Source organism: Homo sapiens, chromosome 2, assembly GCF_000001405.40.
Source record: "Homo sapiens chromosome 2, GRCh38.p14 Primary Assembly".
Taxonomy (NCBI): Eukaryota; Metazoa; Chordata; class Mammalia; order Primates; family Hominidae; genus Homo; species Homo sapiens.
Window position 1 is genome coordinate 46172835 of NC_000002.12, and position 18795 is coordinate 46191629.

The following is an 18795-nucleotide window of genomic DNA, read 5'->3' on the forward strand; positions in this document are numbered from 1 at the left end:
CTTCTCAGGGCTTTCTCCTTTATGTGGATTCCTCAGAGACAGTTATTGTACCACTTAGAAAGCCAGGCTTTTTATAATGGAAATGTTTAAATCAGTGGTTCTTAACTTAGTGGTATCACTACCCCCTTGGAGAATCTGATACAGTAAACTCTGTCTCCAGGAAAACCCCAAGGTGTCACAAACACAGTACACTGTTCTATATTCTACCAGGCTCATGGAAACCCTGAAGCCATCCTTTGAGGCAGGGGTCTGCGAACTGCAGCCCAGGGCCAAATCCAGCCCACCACCTGCTTTTGTGCAGCCCTAGAATAAGAATGGTTTCAACATTTTTTTAATGGTTGAAGAATACTATTTCATGACACATGAACACTGTATGAAATTCAAACATCAGTGCCCATAAAGTTTTATCGGAACACAGCCACCGTCATTCATTTACACAAGTTCATGCTGCTTTTGGGCTACAGTGGCAGAGCGGAGTGGTTATGACAGAGACCATATGGCTCACCACATCTAAAATATTTACTACCTGGCCTTTCACAGAAAAAAATGGCAACCCTTGCTCCAGGGGTGGGAACCCCATTTAAGAAGCTTACTTTATATTCCTTACTTTTGCTTACAAATGATTGAGCCGTGGAATTTAGACATAGAAGCAGCATTGAAAGTCTCCTTGAAAAGCTTCTCACTTTACCAATAGCAGACAAGGAACATGTTCCTCAGTTTCGCAGGAGCAAGAGCCAGGAAGGGGCTCTGTCCTGGGCCCTCCCTTTCTTCTGTAGGTTTCTGAATTGGCACTGCCTTCCAAAGGAACCTTCGGGTAGTTGCCCTGAAGTTTTGTTTCAAAGCATCATAACACATGTTAGAAGTTTGGTGGCAACTTCTTTATAACAGGGACACCTGCTTGCCTCTGTGATGGCAATCCCTGAAAGCTGTGTCTATAGACCCCAGCTAATTCCCAGACAAACGATAGTTGGCTGAACTCCTTTGATCTCTATTTGCTGAGTGTAGGGGAGGAGGTTTGCTGTTAGCTAATACCTGAAGTAGAGTTTTCTTTTTTCCTAAAGTAACTTCTCACATGGAATTTGTAAACAAATTTTTTTTTATAGTTTAGCAAACAATAATGAGACTGGAGATGGGAAATAGTTGAATTCCGTCAAACAGCAGACCTGATAGAATTCAGCTGTGGTTGATTGTTCAGAATGCCTGGCGGTCTGAGAGAATTTGGTCCATTTAGAAAATAGATATGTGTGTCTACTGACTGCCTCCAAAGGAATGAAGCAACTTTCCCTCAGAAGTGTTTTAGCGAGGAAACCAATGAGATTGTGGGGAAGGGGCCTGTGAGGCCCAGCCTGAGGCTTGGGCAGCTTGTCCCTACGACTACAGGGGCCACCTAGCTGCCAGGACCCTTTCCGTTGGGCTGGGGAATGGTGGGCCAAGTGGCCTCCCATTTTAACTGCCATCTGTGCCATCGTGCTTAAAAAGCAAGTGGGTCTTCATTTTCTTCTCCCTTAAAAGGTGGAAGCAGCAATCTTTTCAATGATGTAAAGGTCGCAAACTGGAGGATTGTGAGACCCATTCAGCCAGGAGATAACTTTTTTAAAATCGAATTAGTAGGCAACATTTAAAAAGAGATGTAAGTGAAAATGTAGATTGGGGCATTTCGTGGCAACTCCAAAGACCTGGGACCCCTGGGTCGGTGTCCCCGACAGGTGGCATCAGCTGGTGAGGCATGCAGCCCTCAGCTTGCTGGGCTCCTCAGTTCCCGGTGCGCCCAGGCTCCCCCATGCCACACACAACACACACAGACACCCAAAGACACACACATGCCCCACTCATTAGAGAGAAAAGGAGATATGATGCTTTTTAATTTTTTTTGAGATAAGATCTGGCACTGTCACCCAGGCTGGAGGGCAGTGATATGATCTTGGCTCTCTTGCAACCTCTACCTCCTGGACTCAAGCCAACCTCACACCTCCGCCTCCTGAGTAGCTGGGACTACAGGCACGTGCCACCGTGTCTGGCTAATTTTTGTATTTTTTTGTAAAGGCAGGGTCTCACTATGTGGCCCAGGCTGGTCTCAAACTCCTGGGCTCGAGCTATCCACCTACCTTGTCCACCAGAAGTGCTGGGATTACAGGCATGAACCACCACGCCCAGCCGAGATCTGGTGTTACAGCCTGCAATTTTAGCCAGCAGGGCTAAAATTGCTTCCTTCCTTCCTTGTTTTTCTAAAATCCTTCCTTCCTTGTTTTTCCTTTCTTATTCCAGAAAGTTTAAAGATGTCCCACCAGTATATATAAAGTTTACTATGAATGTAATGTCAGCGAAAAGAAAGAAAGAGAAAACAGCACAGGAAGGCAAAAAAGCATCAGAAATGTTCTTTTGGGTGGGTCACATATTTGGCTATTTGCCTCCAGTGAAAACTAATTGGTTCTAGATTTCATGTGCAGGGGAGATAAATGCACACAGGTGGCCTAGGTGAAACAATGATTATTCTGTGAACTGAGACCAAATAGAAAGTTCTCTCCTGGATCATCCCAAAGACAATTCTGTTTGTTCTAACCATACAGTTGTGATCTTAGATATATTGAGGAAGGAACAATGCCAATAATTTACTCGATGTCACCTACTGTTCTCGCCACTTGATTGTATTCTTTCATTTAATCCTCATAACAAATATATGGGAAGGCCTACTAATGTCCCCATTTTATGGATGAGAAAATGGCGGCACAGAGATTACATAATTGGCCCAAGGCCACAAAGTTAGTAACTGGAGAAGCAGGCATGGAATTCAGGCAGTCTGGCTGTAGAGCATGAAGGCTAAGCCACTAAGCTACCTCTCACAGATCGGCATTTAAAGAAACCAGTCTGATTCCATGAGAGTTCTCAGATGTCCTGATTTTATAAATACCAATATAAAATAGACCAAGAAGTCATGAAGCTGAGAAGGAATGCCAGTATATAGCATGAACTTGCTATGTGTTGGAGGAGGCCAAATCTAGTATGGTCTTAGGCTCCTGAAAAAGCCTTTGGACAACAATGAAAACAGGCCTTTTGAAATTGTTAAAAGAAGAAAGAAAGAGACCCACGGCCTTTATATGGAGGGACTCCACCAGGCTGCCCACCAGAATCACTTATGGAGCTTTAAAAACTCACCGTCTGGAGATTCCAATTCATCAGGTCTAGGATGACTCTCAGGTGTCTAAATGGCTGTGTTTGGTTTTTATGCACAGCCAGGATTGAGAACCACTGTGTTAAAAAATGGCAAAAAGCAGACCTGTTATTTTGCCTCCAATTTTCCCCAAAGAGAAATAGCTCCAAAGTACAAAGATAAGGGTGAAAACCACTAAGAGGAAATTGAAACCCAAGAGAGGCAAATTACATTTAATAAAGCTCACCTGGGGAGCCCTATTATTCCATGCCCAGACCAGATCCCAAAGCAGTTCAACAGAATCCCTAGAGTGGGACGAGCAGCTCCGTGCGTTGAAGCTCCCCCAGGTGACTCCAGTGTAGGCCCAGGTGAATTACATTCCAGGTTACGGAAGAATCTGCTCTGCCTACTGCTTGGTAAATTGGAAATGATGGGATAGAGTAATGATACCAAGTGATAGGAGAAAGGCAAACCGTCTCCCAGTATTCAGAAACTGGGAAAATGTGAACTTAGGACACTTTGAAATTGATATTATTAAAGGAAGTTTCTATAAATTCTTAATGAGAAGATAGTTTGTGGACATTTAGGGGGCAGTAGTAATCACTTGAAGCAATTAACTTCATTTCCAGCAGAGAAATGCTCAGCCATTTGTATCTTTATTCCAGCAAAGCAACTGAGCAAAATGAAAACAGTGACCATGGCTGGTTGCTTCTCAATGAATTTCACAACCACACCCCAAAGAGTGCTGGTGGGACTTGATGTCACCTATGTGAGAGGGCTGTTTCAGGGGCCAGGTCAAAGGGCTCTGGTCCTGATCCTGTGCTAAACAATATTTGCATGAGTGTCCCAACAGAGAGATAGGAGGCATGCCAATCAAATTTTAGGATGACATAAAGCTGGAGGATACAGCAGATAAGATGGATGATAGAATTAAAATGGCATTTGCATTGTATTTTAGGGTTTATCTGAGCTTTACCTATAACCCTCAGAAAGCTAGGTATGTCTGTTATCTCTACTTCCTAGGTAAATACACTGAGATTCAGAGAGGTAAGTTGCAGAATCATGGTGATCTTGACAGGCTAGAAATATGTCCCAAAATAAGAAGAAATCAAGTGTAAAGGATTACGTTTGGATTTTAAAAACCAATTTCAGGCCGAGTATGGTAGCTCACACCTGTAATCCCAGCAGTTTGGAAGGCTGAGGTGGGAGGATCACTTGAGCCCAGGAATTCAAGACCAGCCAGGACAACACAGCGAGATTTCATCTCTCTACTTTATATACTTAAAAAAATTTTTTTAAATCAATTTCAGAAAAATAAGATTGGAGTTTGTATTAGTTGCCCAGGGCTACCATAACAAAGTACCAAAACCTGGGTGGCTTATCTAACAACAGAAATTTATGATCTCATGGTTTGAGGCTAGAAGTCTGAAATCAAGGTGTTGGCAGGGTCTTGCTCCCTCTGAAACCTACAGAGGAATCTTTCCTTGCCTCTTTCAGCTCTGGTAGCCACAGACTTTCACTGGCTCGTGCCACACAGCTTCAGTCTTCACACATATGTCCCTGTGTCTCTTCCCTCTGTGCATGTCTGTCTCTGTGTCCAATTTCCCCTCTTATAAGGACACCAGTCATATTGGATCAGGGCCCACTCTAATGACCTCATCTTCGTTTGATTACGTCTGCAAAGAACTTATTTCCAAATAAGACCACATCCTGTGGTACTGGGGGTTAAAACTTCACATATCTTTTTGGGGAGACACAATTCAACTCATAACATGGTAAAATTGGATTGATACAACTAAGATAGTGTCAATGTTTTCTCATAGCTACTTAAGAAATTATAAAACATTGATACTATCTTAGACAATGTTAATGTAATTTAAGGGTTCACGCCAAGTAGAAAGTAACACCACTGCACTTGGCACTGTTCAGACCGCAGAGGCAGGAACTGAGCAGTCACTTCTGGCCACTACCAAGGATATGGATTTAAAAAAAAATGGCTGGGCATGGTGGCTCACACCTGTGATCCCAGCACTTTGGGAGGCTGAGGCAGGTGGGTCACCAGAGGTCAGGAGTTCGAGACCAGCCTGACCAACAGGGAGATACCCCATCTCTACTAAAAATACAAAAGCTAGCCAGGCGTGGTGGCACATGCCTGTAATCCCAGCTACTCAGGAGGCTGAGGCAGAAGAATTGCTTGAACCCGGGAGGCGGAGGTTGCAGTGAGCCAAGATTGTGCTATTGCACTCCAGCCTGGGCAACAAGAGCGAAACTCTGTCTCAAAAAAAAATAGAGCACTGCCATGGACTCCCAGTAGAAAGTTCCATGGGCAGTCCAGTGCCAGATGACCCCTCTATACATTTTGACCTGTTTACTGTAAAGAAAATCCAAAAGTATGAACATTTCTTGGCTAACAAAATTATAAAGAGGAAGAAGGGATGACAGATGATTATGTTTAGAGAAATTTTTAACTTGAGAGTTAGATTCTCATTTTTGCCAGGCAGGGCACTATGCAGTGATACCTTCCTTATTTCATTTAACTTCACACATCAGTATGTGTGTGTAAACATATACACATATATTCTTTTAATTCGAATGTATGGCTATGAAGAATATATGTATCTATATGAGGATCTAGTTAATGGTGAGGAAGTGTTCTAATTGTTTAAATTCTTTTTCTTTTAGAATATTTAAAAGAGAAAAGTGGAGCATAGACAAGAATATGGACATTTCAAAGCTAGGACGGACTTGGGATTTGGCTGTTATAGTGACTAAAATTATTTCCGGCCAATGAACGTTAAGTATCTGCTGTGTGCCCTGCCTTGCAGTAGGTACCTTGAGGGGTATGATGGGGAATATAATACACATGAAATAGCAGAAGGGGCTAAATGCATGATCCAGACAGTGCCATAGGAGCCGGGAGGAGGGCAGGGTGGAAGGAGACTGGAGTTACGGAAGTCATAAGAAGGAGCCTCACGTGGGACCTAGAAGGATGCTGGCATTTAGGAGACCACGTAGAGACAGCATGTCTCAGTTCAGGTCACACCCCATGAGGCAGAGGACCTCTGGGTTGGGGTCACTATGCTACTTGTGCTGTTGCTGTCACGCCAAGCAGAGTTAAGGGGGAAGGCAGGGACCAATAAGGCAGCCACATGAAAGCTAGCCCTATGCCCCAGCCTGTAAGATCAGGGAGTTTTCTCAGTGCTTTAAAACAAAGTCATCTGTTGATCTCCTGGGAATCAGATGAAGACAGAAGCAGACACTGCTGGCTCCTCCGAAAGCTCAAGTTTATGACGTCAGCACAGTGAGGGCTGTGAGAGATTGTGCTGGCCAGACAGGAAGTAAGCATTGACGCTGCCTGCCTACCTCTGCCCTGGGCTCCCAACACCACCACAGCCGCTGAGTCTCTAGGCCTCAGAGCTGCCTGAGCTCTGAGGCAGGCCCAGTCTCTGAGAGGGATCTGGACTGACCTGAAACTCTTATTTCCTCCCTTCCTGACTACAGACACCAAAAATGTGCCCTTCCCCCAGAGTCAGTCCCAGATTTCTCAAATCTAAGACCTTATTTCTGAAATGATGCCAGAGGGAATCGGAATGTTGTTTTCCTCTAACATCAGCCACAGGGGTCAGACATACCCACAAAGTCCCTAAACATATCTGTCTTGATGGAATTTTCCCAAACCCTGGTCGAACCTGTTTGTTTCTATCTTGTGTCAGCAATTAGAAAACTCTAGTGCCCCAAGTCCTGGGAGAAGAAATTTCATTAATTGGGCCTAAGCCTACCTGTTTTGCAGACCCCATGGGCCTAGTGATGGTCTGGGATGCCTGGCTCTAGGCCCTTCATGAATCAGACTACAGCCATCCCCCCCAACTCCCTGCCTCCACTTCCCAAAATCAAAACACCCCCTGACAGCACAGCAGCCCCTGACCCTGAACCCAGATCACGTTACTGGCTCTAGATAAAGTAGCAGCAAGAGAGGTGCATTTATTAATTTTTTCTAGCAGATATCTATGGAGTATGCAGTATGTGCCAGGCATTGTGCTAGGCTGGGGATAGAATGGTGAGTTCAACCCAGTCTCTGCCTGCAAGGAGCTCATAGATTAGTTGAAAAGAAGAGGCCTCCTCAGTGTGGTGAGTACTAAGTTAGGAGAGATGGTGAGGGCACCCACAAGAAGCTTTGCTCAAGCAGCCCTGGAGGGATGAGGAGGGTTCCTGAAGAAAGGGCATGTACATGGAGGTGGGGAAATTGCATGGATGTGGGGCAGAAGGCAGGGATAGGGGAGGGCATTCCAGGTAGAGGGCTAGCTATGCAAGGCTGGAGGCAAGAGAAAGCAGGAGGAAGCCCCATGGTTGGGCAGTGCCAGGGAGATGAACCTGGGGGATGAGGCAAGGACAAGCTCCTGAAGGGCCTCAGAAGCAGGTGAGCGAAAGAACTCAGGACTTTACCCCAAAAGCCGTGATGTGCAATGAAGCATCTCAATTGCTGGAGGAAGCACTAGGATGTTCAGGCAGGCCCAGGCTCAGTCCTAGTTCAGGATTTGGAGGCACAGAAAGAAAGGTAAGACTCAGCCCCTAACTTCAGGAAACTCACTGATGGGCAGATACCATGCACTGTGTTGGGAAACAACCAAGCTGTGCATGATGCATGCCCATGGCACACGAATGCTAAGATTTGAAGGCATGATGGGAGCTATCATTTATTGAGTGCACTCTGTATGCCAGGTTCTGCAGAAGGAACCTAATATCACATCTCACTCAGTCCTCAAGGAAACCTATAGTGTGCCTGTTACCACCCCCGTGTGACAGATGGAAAGACCACGGCTTAAAGAGGTTAACTTCACAGCGTCAATAACCAGGAAAGGATGGCACCAGAATGAGCTCAGCCGGTGATCTTCCTCCTACTCTATTCAGCCTTCCCTAAGTGTGGGCCAAAGGTTGTAGAAAAGGCTTCACGGATTAGGAAGGGACTGGCGAGTTAGAATGTTGTTCCCTGTGTCCCACTGTCATCTCTCAGGCTCTGCAGTGGGGGCCAGGAGCCTGACATTTAGGCATTAGGGGAGGCAGGGATGACTGAGGATCAGGATAAACAAGTGTCTCTGAGAGCCTGCCCCTCAGAATCTTTAAGTCGAGTCCAGTGCCTGCTCTGTGCGGGAGGTAGCAGCTTTTCAAAGAATAAAATCAGCGAGTAAAGAATATAATCTGCAGTTCTTTGCAAATTTGACGATGCTGTGCTGCCTACATACCATTAATAGGGGATGGGTTTTCCCAGAGATGTTTGCTTTGGAAAACTCCCAAGCCTCTACTGTTAACAGTTAGAGATTGCACATAGTGGGGATGGTTATTTGAATTAGAAATGGGTAACTCACATGCACCTGAAATGTCTCCAAGTAAAGTAGGGTAGGGGCCAAGTTGTATAAGGAGATGGGTGAGCCAAGTCTGTAACGATCATGAAGAATGGCATACTCTCTCAAATGCCACAGATGATTCTGGAACCTCAAGAATCTCAGAGCTGAGCTAAATGGCTCTCCAAGATAGCCCACCATGGAGCTAAGGTCCTCTGGAATGACACCACTAGCAGTATTGACTGAGCCTGGTTCCCTGATTCACAACAGCAAGTCGTGAAATTCAGACATCCTGTAGGATCTAGCTTTACCACTATGCTCAGTTGACCTCAAGAAATGAAACCAGCTTCCATGATTAACAGACACTAATGACCAACAGGTGAAACACAATCAGGTAAATGGGGAGAGCCAGTGCCAGAGGGCTTACAGATTTTCTGAAGTTCTTCATACACAGGTTCCCCTCATTAGCAGCCATCTGGGAGGGAGCTGGGGATGATTCTGAAACCTGGAGAATCCCGGTCACTATATCATACATTAGTTGAAAAGAGGGAGCCTCCTCAGTGTGGTGAGTGCCAAGTTAGGAGAGATGGTGAAGGCATCTCCTGCCTACACGCCTTGTACAGCCAGCCCTCTGCCTGGATTATACCGGTCTACCACATACCTGGGCAAGGCTCGTCCTTAGTGACGTTACAAATGGAATATTCTTCTTGCCCTATTCCTTGACTCTCTTTTTCTCCTTACTGCCACCCCTACTACTCCATTATCCCCTTCGGCTCCAGCTCCCCCGGCGTGGATGCTCCTGGCTTGCCTTCTGGGATGATACCCAGGGCTTCCCTAATTGTTGCCACAGCCTACCCAGCCCGCTCCTCCCTCTGGACTGACTCACTTCGCCAGGCACAGAGGGCCCATAGCCTGCAATCCTCCCCAGTCAGTGAATCCCTCCCCCTTCCACAGAGATCTTCAGAAGAGGTGTCGCCACACCCTTTGCCCAGGCGCCACCCTCCCGCGTCAGTGTGCGTCACCGTGGGGATGGTCTTTGTTGTTTCCCTCTCAAGCAGGGCCCTCCTTTTCCTCTTGTTCTGTACACACTGGAGAGGGAGAACAGATGGTCCTCCTGCCGGGGGCCAGCCCTCCTGGCAGAGGTGACCAAACCACCCGGCTTTCCCATCTCAGGGGCATCATGGACACCCCTCAGCTATAGGTTCTGTTTCTGGGGATCCCTTGGGTTTTCTGTGTGTCCCCCCCTTCCCCCTTCCAAGGTCTCTGAGACCTGCTGACCTATGCAGCTCAAGCCCAGAGAGAAGACACCAGGCAGGACTGGTGGTGCTAAAAGATGGTAGAAATCAGTTTGTCCCTCCTCCGTGCTGTTTGTGATTTTGATTTCAACCTGGGACGAGTTGAAAACAGTCCCCCGCGCAGCTCACCCGGCCCACGTTACCCACTATCTTCCCGGACTCACAGCTGTCTCCACCCATGCTTGCCTACTGGCAGGCCTTTCCGGCTTTATTTTGCCTAGTGGTGTTACCAAAATGTCTCCTGGTTGAACTTGACTCTTGTTATATCTTCCAATTTCTCCCGTGTCCAGATTTCCAGACCTTACCCACTGTGGAAGGCATCACACTGAAGCCCAGACATGAGTTCTGGGTCTGCTCTTACCCAGTCCAGTGACCCTGGGAAAGTCAACAAACCTCTCTGAGCCAGTTTCCTCATCTGCAGGATCAGGATGTTACCAGCCTGTTCTGAGGATCAAATGAGCGAATAAATGCAAAGATTCTTTGTAAACTGTAAACCAACATTCTCCAAACTGCATTCTGCAGACCCTGCTCTCAGGAGAGGTGTTCATAAACTATTTAGGAAAACAAAAAAGTTTTAGGTCAAGTTTGAGGAAGGCTAGCCTAAACAAAGCAAACTAGATTTCCTCACTCTAGAATTTCTCAGAGACTAACTTGCCAATGTGCATAGCAAATCTCCAAGAGCAGGGTAGAAAACATGGCTTTATGTCAAAACTGCTTTTTTCATGGACTACTTATTAACTTCTTTAGGTTAGTGGTTTCCACAGAGCATAGCATATATTAATATTATTTCTCCTACAAATAATAATGTGAATCTTTCCACAAGATTTATTCCATCATCCAAGTCACTAATCCTGGGTAATACCAGTTAATCAGTGTCTGAAAAAAGTATTGCTGGAGTCCCTGCCTTTAATCTTCTGGGCATTGTGCTCTGTGCTGTGGGGGAGAGGGGACCTGCTATTGAAGGCCTCTGCCATTGGACTCCAGCCCTAACTCCCGCCATCCCCATGCCGCACTCTGCCCCTGCAGCTTAGTGAACCCGCTGCCCTGTGTATGCATCTTTTGTCTTCCTGTTCCCTGCCTTTGTTCCATCCTTCTCCCTGCCAAGGTGCCTCCCTCCCATTTCTACCAGTACAGTTGTCACCCATTCCTCAAGTCTTAGCCCAAATCCCAACTTCTCCATGGAAATTTTTCTAACTAAAGCGATGTGTTCTACACAGGACTACTGACCCCTTGAACTCAACTCTAAGCCCCTAAAGGCAGAGAGCATTACTTATACTTCCTGATTTTCTCCAAAAACCAGCATTCATTTGTGGGTTGATTGATTGCTCCCTTCCACCCCACCCCCCAAGAACCATAAGGCACACAGTTGTACCTTGGGAACTTCAACCCAGAGGTATGGGTCCTTCAGAGCTGGGGAGTCAGTGGTGAGTTTACTTATTTCATTCAGTAGACACTTATTGCTGGGGAACTGCTGGGAACTCAAAGTTGAACAAGACAAGGTCTCTGCCTTTAAGAAGCTCTTGGTCTAGACAAAAGCATAAAAACGTCATTGCAAGTCAATGTGCTGAGTTTAATAATTGAAAAAATACTGGAGCACAAAATTGGGTTCGTGGTGAGAGTAAGTGGAAATCGAGGCAGGCTTGTGGAGAGGATGTCACCTGGAGCAGATGTGGCCGGGTTATGGGGAAGAAGGACCTCTGAGAGGGGATTCAGATCTGTTCCCTGGGTCACAGGGAGGAATGTTGTAATGGAGCCAGTAGGTTACAGCAGTTGCTGAAAGAGGGTGTGAGATGGGACCTTTGCATCATACACACACAAACACACACACACACACACACACACACACGTCTGTGGGAATCCCACTTCCCTGCTTTTCCATCATACCCTCTCACCCCTTCTTCCTTCTCACCTTGACTCATTCTTCCTCTCCTCGTCTCTCACCTCCGGGTCCTGGGGCCATCCATCGTTACCTCATCGGGACAGCCCCGTGTCTGCTGTCTGTTGGTAGCTAGAGGCCTGCTTTGGTGACAGGCTGGTCAGTGCGGTGCCCACTCCCCATGGGGGGCCCTCAGGAGGGAGAGCAGCCTCAACTCACCACTTTCTCTTTTCTTCCCACAGAAAACCAAAAGAGACGTCAATAATTTTGACCAAGACTTTACCCGGGAAGAGCCGGTACTCACCCTTGTGGACGAAGCAATTGTAAAGCAGATCAACCAGGAGGAATTCAAAGGTTTCTCCTACTTTGGTGAAGACCTGATGCCCTGAGAGCCCACTGCAGTTGGACTTTGCCGATGCTGCAAGAAGGGGTGCAGAGAAGACTCCTGTGTTGGAGACACTCAGCAGGTCTTGAACTACTTCTCCTCCTCGGAGCCCCAGTCCCATGTCCACTGTCTATTTATTGCATTCCCTTGCCCCAGGCCACCTCCTCCCCCTCCCACCTGGTGACCAGAAGGCGCTCTCGGTTCTTGTCTCACCAGTAATGCAGACTCATTGGGTCAGCAATTAGCTGTATACACTGCCGTGTTTGGACCATTGGCAAGCCTGGTTCCACTCCTCAGGGGCTCCTGGCAGTGAAGCAACTTCAGTTCTTTTACTGCAAAGAACAGAAAAAAGAAAGAAAGCAAACAAGAAGACTCCGGCTCTGCTATCGGACACAGATCCTGATCCCTCTTGCTTCTTTTCCCTCCTGCACCGCAGCTTGCCATCCCTGCCCTTCTGTCCTGGAGAAGAGACTGGTGCTTCTCCGCACACACGAGGGAGGGCGCCCTTGAGGCATGCCCTCTGAGGGAGGGAGACCAGAGATGCAGGGATTGGCCAGCTGGGTTGGTTTGCTCTGGAATGGCTAACTCTTGCCTGCTTTGGTTTTAGCTTTTCAGCATGCCAAAGTCATGTAAGTTTGTGTCTTGTGGAAGAAATCCTCTTTGTGGAAAAAGAAACAGGGTTTTGAACTCTGTTAACATTTGAAAAATATATTTTCAAATTCACTTTCTAATTGGCCAAAAGAGATGAGTTCCAGTCTGAATACAGGTAGATATTAAAGGGCTAATAAAAAATGAGAAACCGGTCGTCCAAGGTGGATGCTGTCAATGCCCGAGTGACACATGAGAGCTGTATGAATTGAGAGAAAAGGCAACAAGTAGCATTCTTCATCATTCAAGTTCTACCTGGACACAAAGGCGAGGACCCTGGGGTTCCAACAAAGCTCAGCTCCCAGATTCTCTTTCCAGTTTCATCCTAAGTTCCTAGCATAAACACTATTTATTTTCTGCAGCAGTGTGTTATTTTTGCGCACTTATACAAAATGGTAGTACTACTGTGTTGTGGTTTTTAAACATTAAACATGTAAAGTTATATACGAAATATCTGCTTTTGGAATAAGCAGAATGAGGCTAAACATGGGTTATACAAAGGGTATCTGGAAACTGAAGAGCAACTTGTTAGAAAACTGACAATGTCGCAAGATGTACTCAGTTTTGTTTCTGTGTGACATGCAATGGCAACTCATGTGGACACTATTGAAGGGATGTGACATTACCTCCTGTAGATATGCTAACAGTGTTATTCTTTCATTTCCAAGGGTTCTCTGTGGCTTTGTGTATATGTTTCCCAGAGGTCATTTGATTACCTAATTTACTGAACTGATTTAGCAGGGAATGGAATCCATTCCAACTATTGCACGTGGATTTCCCAGCTGCCCCTAAATATATATACTTGTGAGTGGCAAAGTGGCACTAATGAAGCTTTTGCCTTTTGTACATTTGAGATTTTTGTATATAGTGTTTGCTGCAAGGCCTGTGGAATTAATTCGTTGCATATAGAGGTATCAACTGCTGCATGTTCAGGCATATTATAAAACTTTAGTCTATGAAAGAATAATTATAATAATGTCCAGGTGCAATACTCTGTAAGTCTATTGGTTCAAGTTACCGAGAGATAGGTGTGTTCCTTTATGGGGGATGGGGGGGTGTGTTGGGGATTCTTTGTATTGTTTATTTCATTTTGGTTTATTTTAAAAGATGTAAACATATATTAAGCTATATTAAATCTCACATACAGTTCTTCTGTGCTCTATTATACCCTGATAGAGATGGGGGAGAGAAAGGAATGTTTTTGATGGTGGTTTCAAAGCTCGGACAGTAACTATCTTGAGCCCATTAGAGAGTCTGTGTCCATATTTGCATCTGGCTGGTCATAGCCTTTGTTACTAATGATGACATTCAGTTCTCTTTTGTTTTTATTTTTTAAAAACTCAGGTGTAATTATTATCTGTTCTTAAGATAATTGCAAATATTAAATATTATGATATATCAATTCATGTGTTTGGCATACCAGTGAATGATGAAGAACATGAGATTAATTTAATTTATCTTCGGTAACTTGACATTCTGGAGAGAGACTATCTTCTGGAGTTGAGTACAAGCACAGAAACATCTTTACGGTGGCATCATCTCATTTTTTAGGAAGACATGATAATACTGCCCATCATATTCATGTGTAACTACTGTTCTTTCTTCTGCTTTCTTCACCATAATAAACTTTGGACAACCAAGCAAGCTCTAACCGCAATGCCAGATGGCCTTGTCCGAGGGCCTAGTGTTTGCACGGCAGTGGGAACTGGGCCTTTCCTACAGGACAACTGGCAAGTTTGCTGGGAAGTCAAATAATACATTCCACCTGGCAGCTGAAGGCAGCCAGTCAGTCTGTCCCAGAAAGGGCCCTTTTCAGCACCCAAAGCTGGGCTGGCTGGGATGCCTCTGGCTGGTGAAGTTCTCACATAGGCTGATTTAAATCCAGCAAAGGTCTATAGAAAAAGGCTTGCGTGTTCGTTGAGTAATCATTGTTTCATTTTCATTTTTACGAGAGTTTGAAAATAGACACACTGTTAACACTTCTGCCAGTTTTTTCTGATCTTTCCAGCCCCACCCCCTTTCTCTTTCTCTCTCTCTCTCAAAGAAAAAAAAAATGGGAGTGCAAAAAAAACAAAGCCAAAAAATATATGAAGGATAGCTGTTCTTCTGTGTTCTCTCATTATGGACTTTGTGAAGTAGAAACATAATTTTTTTTCCTCCAAAGGTGAAAAAACAATGCATTCTTGCTTTAAAAAAAAAAAAGAAGGCTAAAAAATTACCTCTTTTTAAATTATGTGCAAAATAATTCTGGCTAACTGTAAAATGTATTCAATTTTAGGATTTTTTTTTTTTGTATTGTGATGCTTTATTTGTACATTTTTTTCCTTTCTGGATGTAATTTTAATCTCTTGCCATTCATTAGTGTTATTTCATTGTAAACGTTATTGTGCCAAATGTACTGTATTCAAAAGGATGTGAATGTGTATTGTTTCAGAACCTAATAAATACAATGACGTTAAGTCTTATTTTCAGTGCCAATAAGAATTTTTCATCTCCGTTGTGAGTGGCAAAGTGGCACTAATGAAGCTTTTTGCCATTTATATGTTAGAGATTCAAAAATTTCCAAACCTAAACGTGGTTTCAGCTTTCCTTTCTCCTTGGAAGATGCACAAAAGCTGCAAATGACCATATTTGCACATTCCCCCTGCCTCTGTGCTTCTGGGCTGTCAGAAGGAATAAGGGGGACCCGTGCCAACTGGACATGGCTCTCAGCTGCCTTGGCCTGTCTGCCTTGAGGTGCTGGGTGATAGGAAAGAAAGCAGGCGGCACCTGCATTTTTGTCTTTCCAGAGAAGCAAATGCTGGACCACCTTGCAAACAATGCCCACTTGAGCCTCCTCATGACTCAGTTTTGAGCCTGATGCTTGGAACTATAGGCCTTGGGGTTCCAGGGACTCCTCCTAGGGTGAGAGTTCCTTGCAGGCTGGCCTGGAGCACAGACTGGCCAGCGGGGCTCCATGCTTAGCTCTTGCCCGCCTCCCCCATGCAGCCCATGTCTGTGCCCATCCTGCCGACTCCCGGGCTCTCCAGGTTCCTCCTTCACTCTGGGACTCCTTTTCTGCCATTCCAAGCATGTTGCCCTGGTACTGCAAGACTCCTCCTCTTTCTCCAGCACAAACTTTTCAAGAATGTTTGAAACTCAAAAGCACCCTCTTGAGTACACCAGAAATTTCCATTGGCCAAAACTTCCTGTTCCTTAAAAGTTACAGAAATGGGGCCGGGCACTGTGGCTCACGCCTGTAATCCCAGCACTTTGGGAGGCCGAGGTGGGTGGATCACCCGAGGTTGGAAGTTCGAGACCAGCCTGACCAACACGGAGAAACCCCACCTCTATAAAAATACAAAATTAGCTGGGCAGGGTGGCACATGCCTATAATCCCAGCTACTCGGGAGGCTGAGGCAAGAGACTTGCTTGAACTCGGGAGGCGGAGGTTGCGTTGAGCCGACATCGCACCATTGCACTCCAGCCTGGGCAACAAGAGCAAAACTCCGTCTCAAAAAAAAAGAAAAAAAAGTTACAGCAATGATTGCAGTTCTACTATTTCTTATCCTAAGGTAAGGGGATGGACTACCTTGTCACCCTCTCGACTTCCTCATAAGCCCTCCAGTGACTGGCGTATCTGCCTGCAAGGCCTCTTCTCTCACAGTTTTTCCTCTCTCAGCAACATCTCCTGCCCACCTGGAGATCGAAGCATGAATTTCCAGACCCACCCCAAGAAGGATGTGTTTAGCACATAGTTTTCTCTCTGATTCAAGAGTTGTTTCTAGGTAAGTGACCACCCAAGGAGAAGCAACCGTCCTACCAGCTTGTCTGTCTTATCACGAACTTAAAATTAGGAGAATCATCAAACTCATAGAGGCAGAGAGTATAATGGCGGTTGCCAGGGTCTGGGGTGGGGGTGGAAATGGGGAGATGTTGGTCAAACTACAAAGTTTCAATTAGGACAAATACATTCCGAAGCTCGATTGTAGAACATGGTGACTATGGTTAATAATAATGTATAATTGAAAGTTGCCAAGAGAGAAGATATTATGCGTTCTCACCACAAAAAAGAATGGGCCAGGGCCAGGCACAGTGGCTCACACCTGTAATTCCAGCACTTTGGGAGGCCAAGGTGAGAGGATCACTTGAGCCCAGGAATTCAAGACCAGCCTGGTCAATAAAGTGAGACCTCATCTCTACCAAAAAAAAAAGAAAAGAAAAAGAAAAAAAAAAATAGCCAGGCATGGTGGTGCACGCCTGTGGTCCAGCTACACAGGAGGCCATGGCAGGAGGATTGCTTAAGCCCAGAAGGTCGAGGCTGTAGTGAGCCATAATTGTGCCACTGCACTCCAGCCTGGGCAAGAGAACAAGATCCTGTCTCAAAATAATAGTAATGAGGAGGAGGAGGAGAAAGAATGTGAAGTGATGGATATGTTAGGTTGGTGCAAAATTAATTGTGGTTTTTGACATTTTTAAAAGTAATACTAACACTTTTACCTATGTAACAAACTTGCACATCCTGTACATGTACCCTGGAACTTAAAATAAAAATTAAATACTATATACTATTTTAACAAATTTTAAAAAGTAGTGGCAAAACTACAATTACTTTTGCACCAATCTAATATCAATTAGCTTGATTTAATCATTTCACAATGTATACCTATATCAAAACATCACATATACCACAAATATACACAATTTTTACTTGTCAGTTATAACTTAATAAAGCTGAAAAACATTCACAGAAACAAAAGGAGCTGTTGTAGGAAGGTCAGGAGGCATCTGCAAGCACTTGACTGAATGAAATGTGACCAGCCTGCCCTTCCCTTTACCTAGCGCTCTGGAAGAGAACAGCTCCAAAGTCCTGGAGACAAGGGACTGGTCCTCTCAAATCTCTATGCTCCACAAAGCACTAAGAAAGGTCAATTGCTGTCCGTATATCTGGTTTGGAGCCTCTTTTCCCACCCCCAACCACATTCTAGATGAGAAAGCCAGGTGCTGACCCACCTGTTCCAGGGGAGCGCTGGGCAGGGTCCCTAGCAAGGTTCAGGTGGCTGCAGAGCTCCTTGAGGAGAGTATGTGTGGCTGTGCCCTGAACTAAGAAAAAGCCAGACTAATAGATTTCTTGCCAAGGAAATCTATGGGGATATTGTCCCTTCTCTACTACCTTGTGCCTAAGTGCAGACCATCACTCGGGCTACCAGAAGCCTGAAGATCCCCATGCAAGGCAATCTCAGAAGCATGAGGCATGTGTTGTCCTAGTGTTTGCAGTGGCAGAGAGGGGTGGAAATAAGGCTTGAAAGCCACCTTATGAAGTCTGTTTTCTACTTTAAAGTACTTTAGCCCAGACAGTGACATTACATATGTGGTGTGTTCGTTTTAAGCTATACTTGAAGGATGATCTTTCACGTATAATCAGAAATACATTTTTCAGGGGTGAACAGCAGGCTGAATAAATAGTATTTATTCAGAAAGCTACTGCAAGTGCTTCAGCCTTCTTTTACCTCCCAAAGCACCTGGGAGTTTTGTCATCAACATAAGGGATGCTAGAAAACTATTTTCTCAAGGAAAATGGTGGCTTCTTAATTAGCATAAAGAATGTTAGAAAGGTGACATTAGTGGTGTCTGAGATAAGTAGACTGGAAAAGATATCTCAAGATCAATCTCCACATTTCAAAACACAGGGTATACAAACCTAGAGGACTTCAACTTTTCTAGTAATTGGAAAAATGCACATTTAAATCGAACTGTGATACCACTTTACCTCCACCCAAATGACTAACTGAAAAAGGCAGACATAAGATGTGGAACAATTGGAACGTTCAGTGTTTCTAGTCTGAGTAGAAAATGGTACAAGTACTTTGAAAAACATCGTCAATATCTGTGAAAGCCAAATTGTATACCTTTGACCCAGGAGAAAAATCTATCCACTATGGAAAGGAAAAATGAATTGTGAAATATTCCCACAATGGAACACTATGTAACCATAAGAATGAGTGATTTAGAGCTACACACAACAACACAGAGGACTCTCTTAACATAATGTTGAGGAAAAGAAGCCAAGCCGAAGAGTACACACTGTGATTCTATGGATATGAAACACAATCTATGCTCTTGGA

At 45.0% G+C, this 18795-nt stretch overlaps 1 protein-coding gene across 18 annotated transcripts in view, besides 1 other annotated feature; it reads left to right on the top strand.

Moving 5' to 3' along the window:
- PRKCE (protein kinase C epsilon) overlaps nucleotides 1-15156 on the top strand; it is a 536712-nt gene extending 521556 nt beyond the window's left edge. For all 18 annotated transcript variants that reach the window (XM_005264428.2, XM_011532980.4, NM_005400.3 and 15 more), the window contains one exon: nucleotides 11901-15156. In XM_005264428.2, coding sequence (XP_005264485.1) covers nucleotides 11901-12047 — 147 coding nt within the window. In that variant the 3' untranslated portion in view covers nucleotides 12048-15156. The remainder of the gene's footprint in view (nucleotides 1-11900) is intronic.
- Nucleotides 6414-6914: an enhancer, noted in NCBI's record as "H3K27ac hESC enhancer chr2:46406387-46406887 (GRCh37/hg19 assembly coordinates)". NCBI's record gives its function as "activates a minimal SCP1, AML or CMV promoter by ChIP-STARR-seq in primed H9 embryonic stem cells {active_cell/tissue: H9 hESC(primed)}" and the evidence as "EXISTENCE:reporter gene assay evidence [ECO:0000049][PMID:30033119]".
- Nucleotides 15157-18795: the final 3639 nt, after the last annotated feature.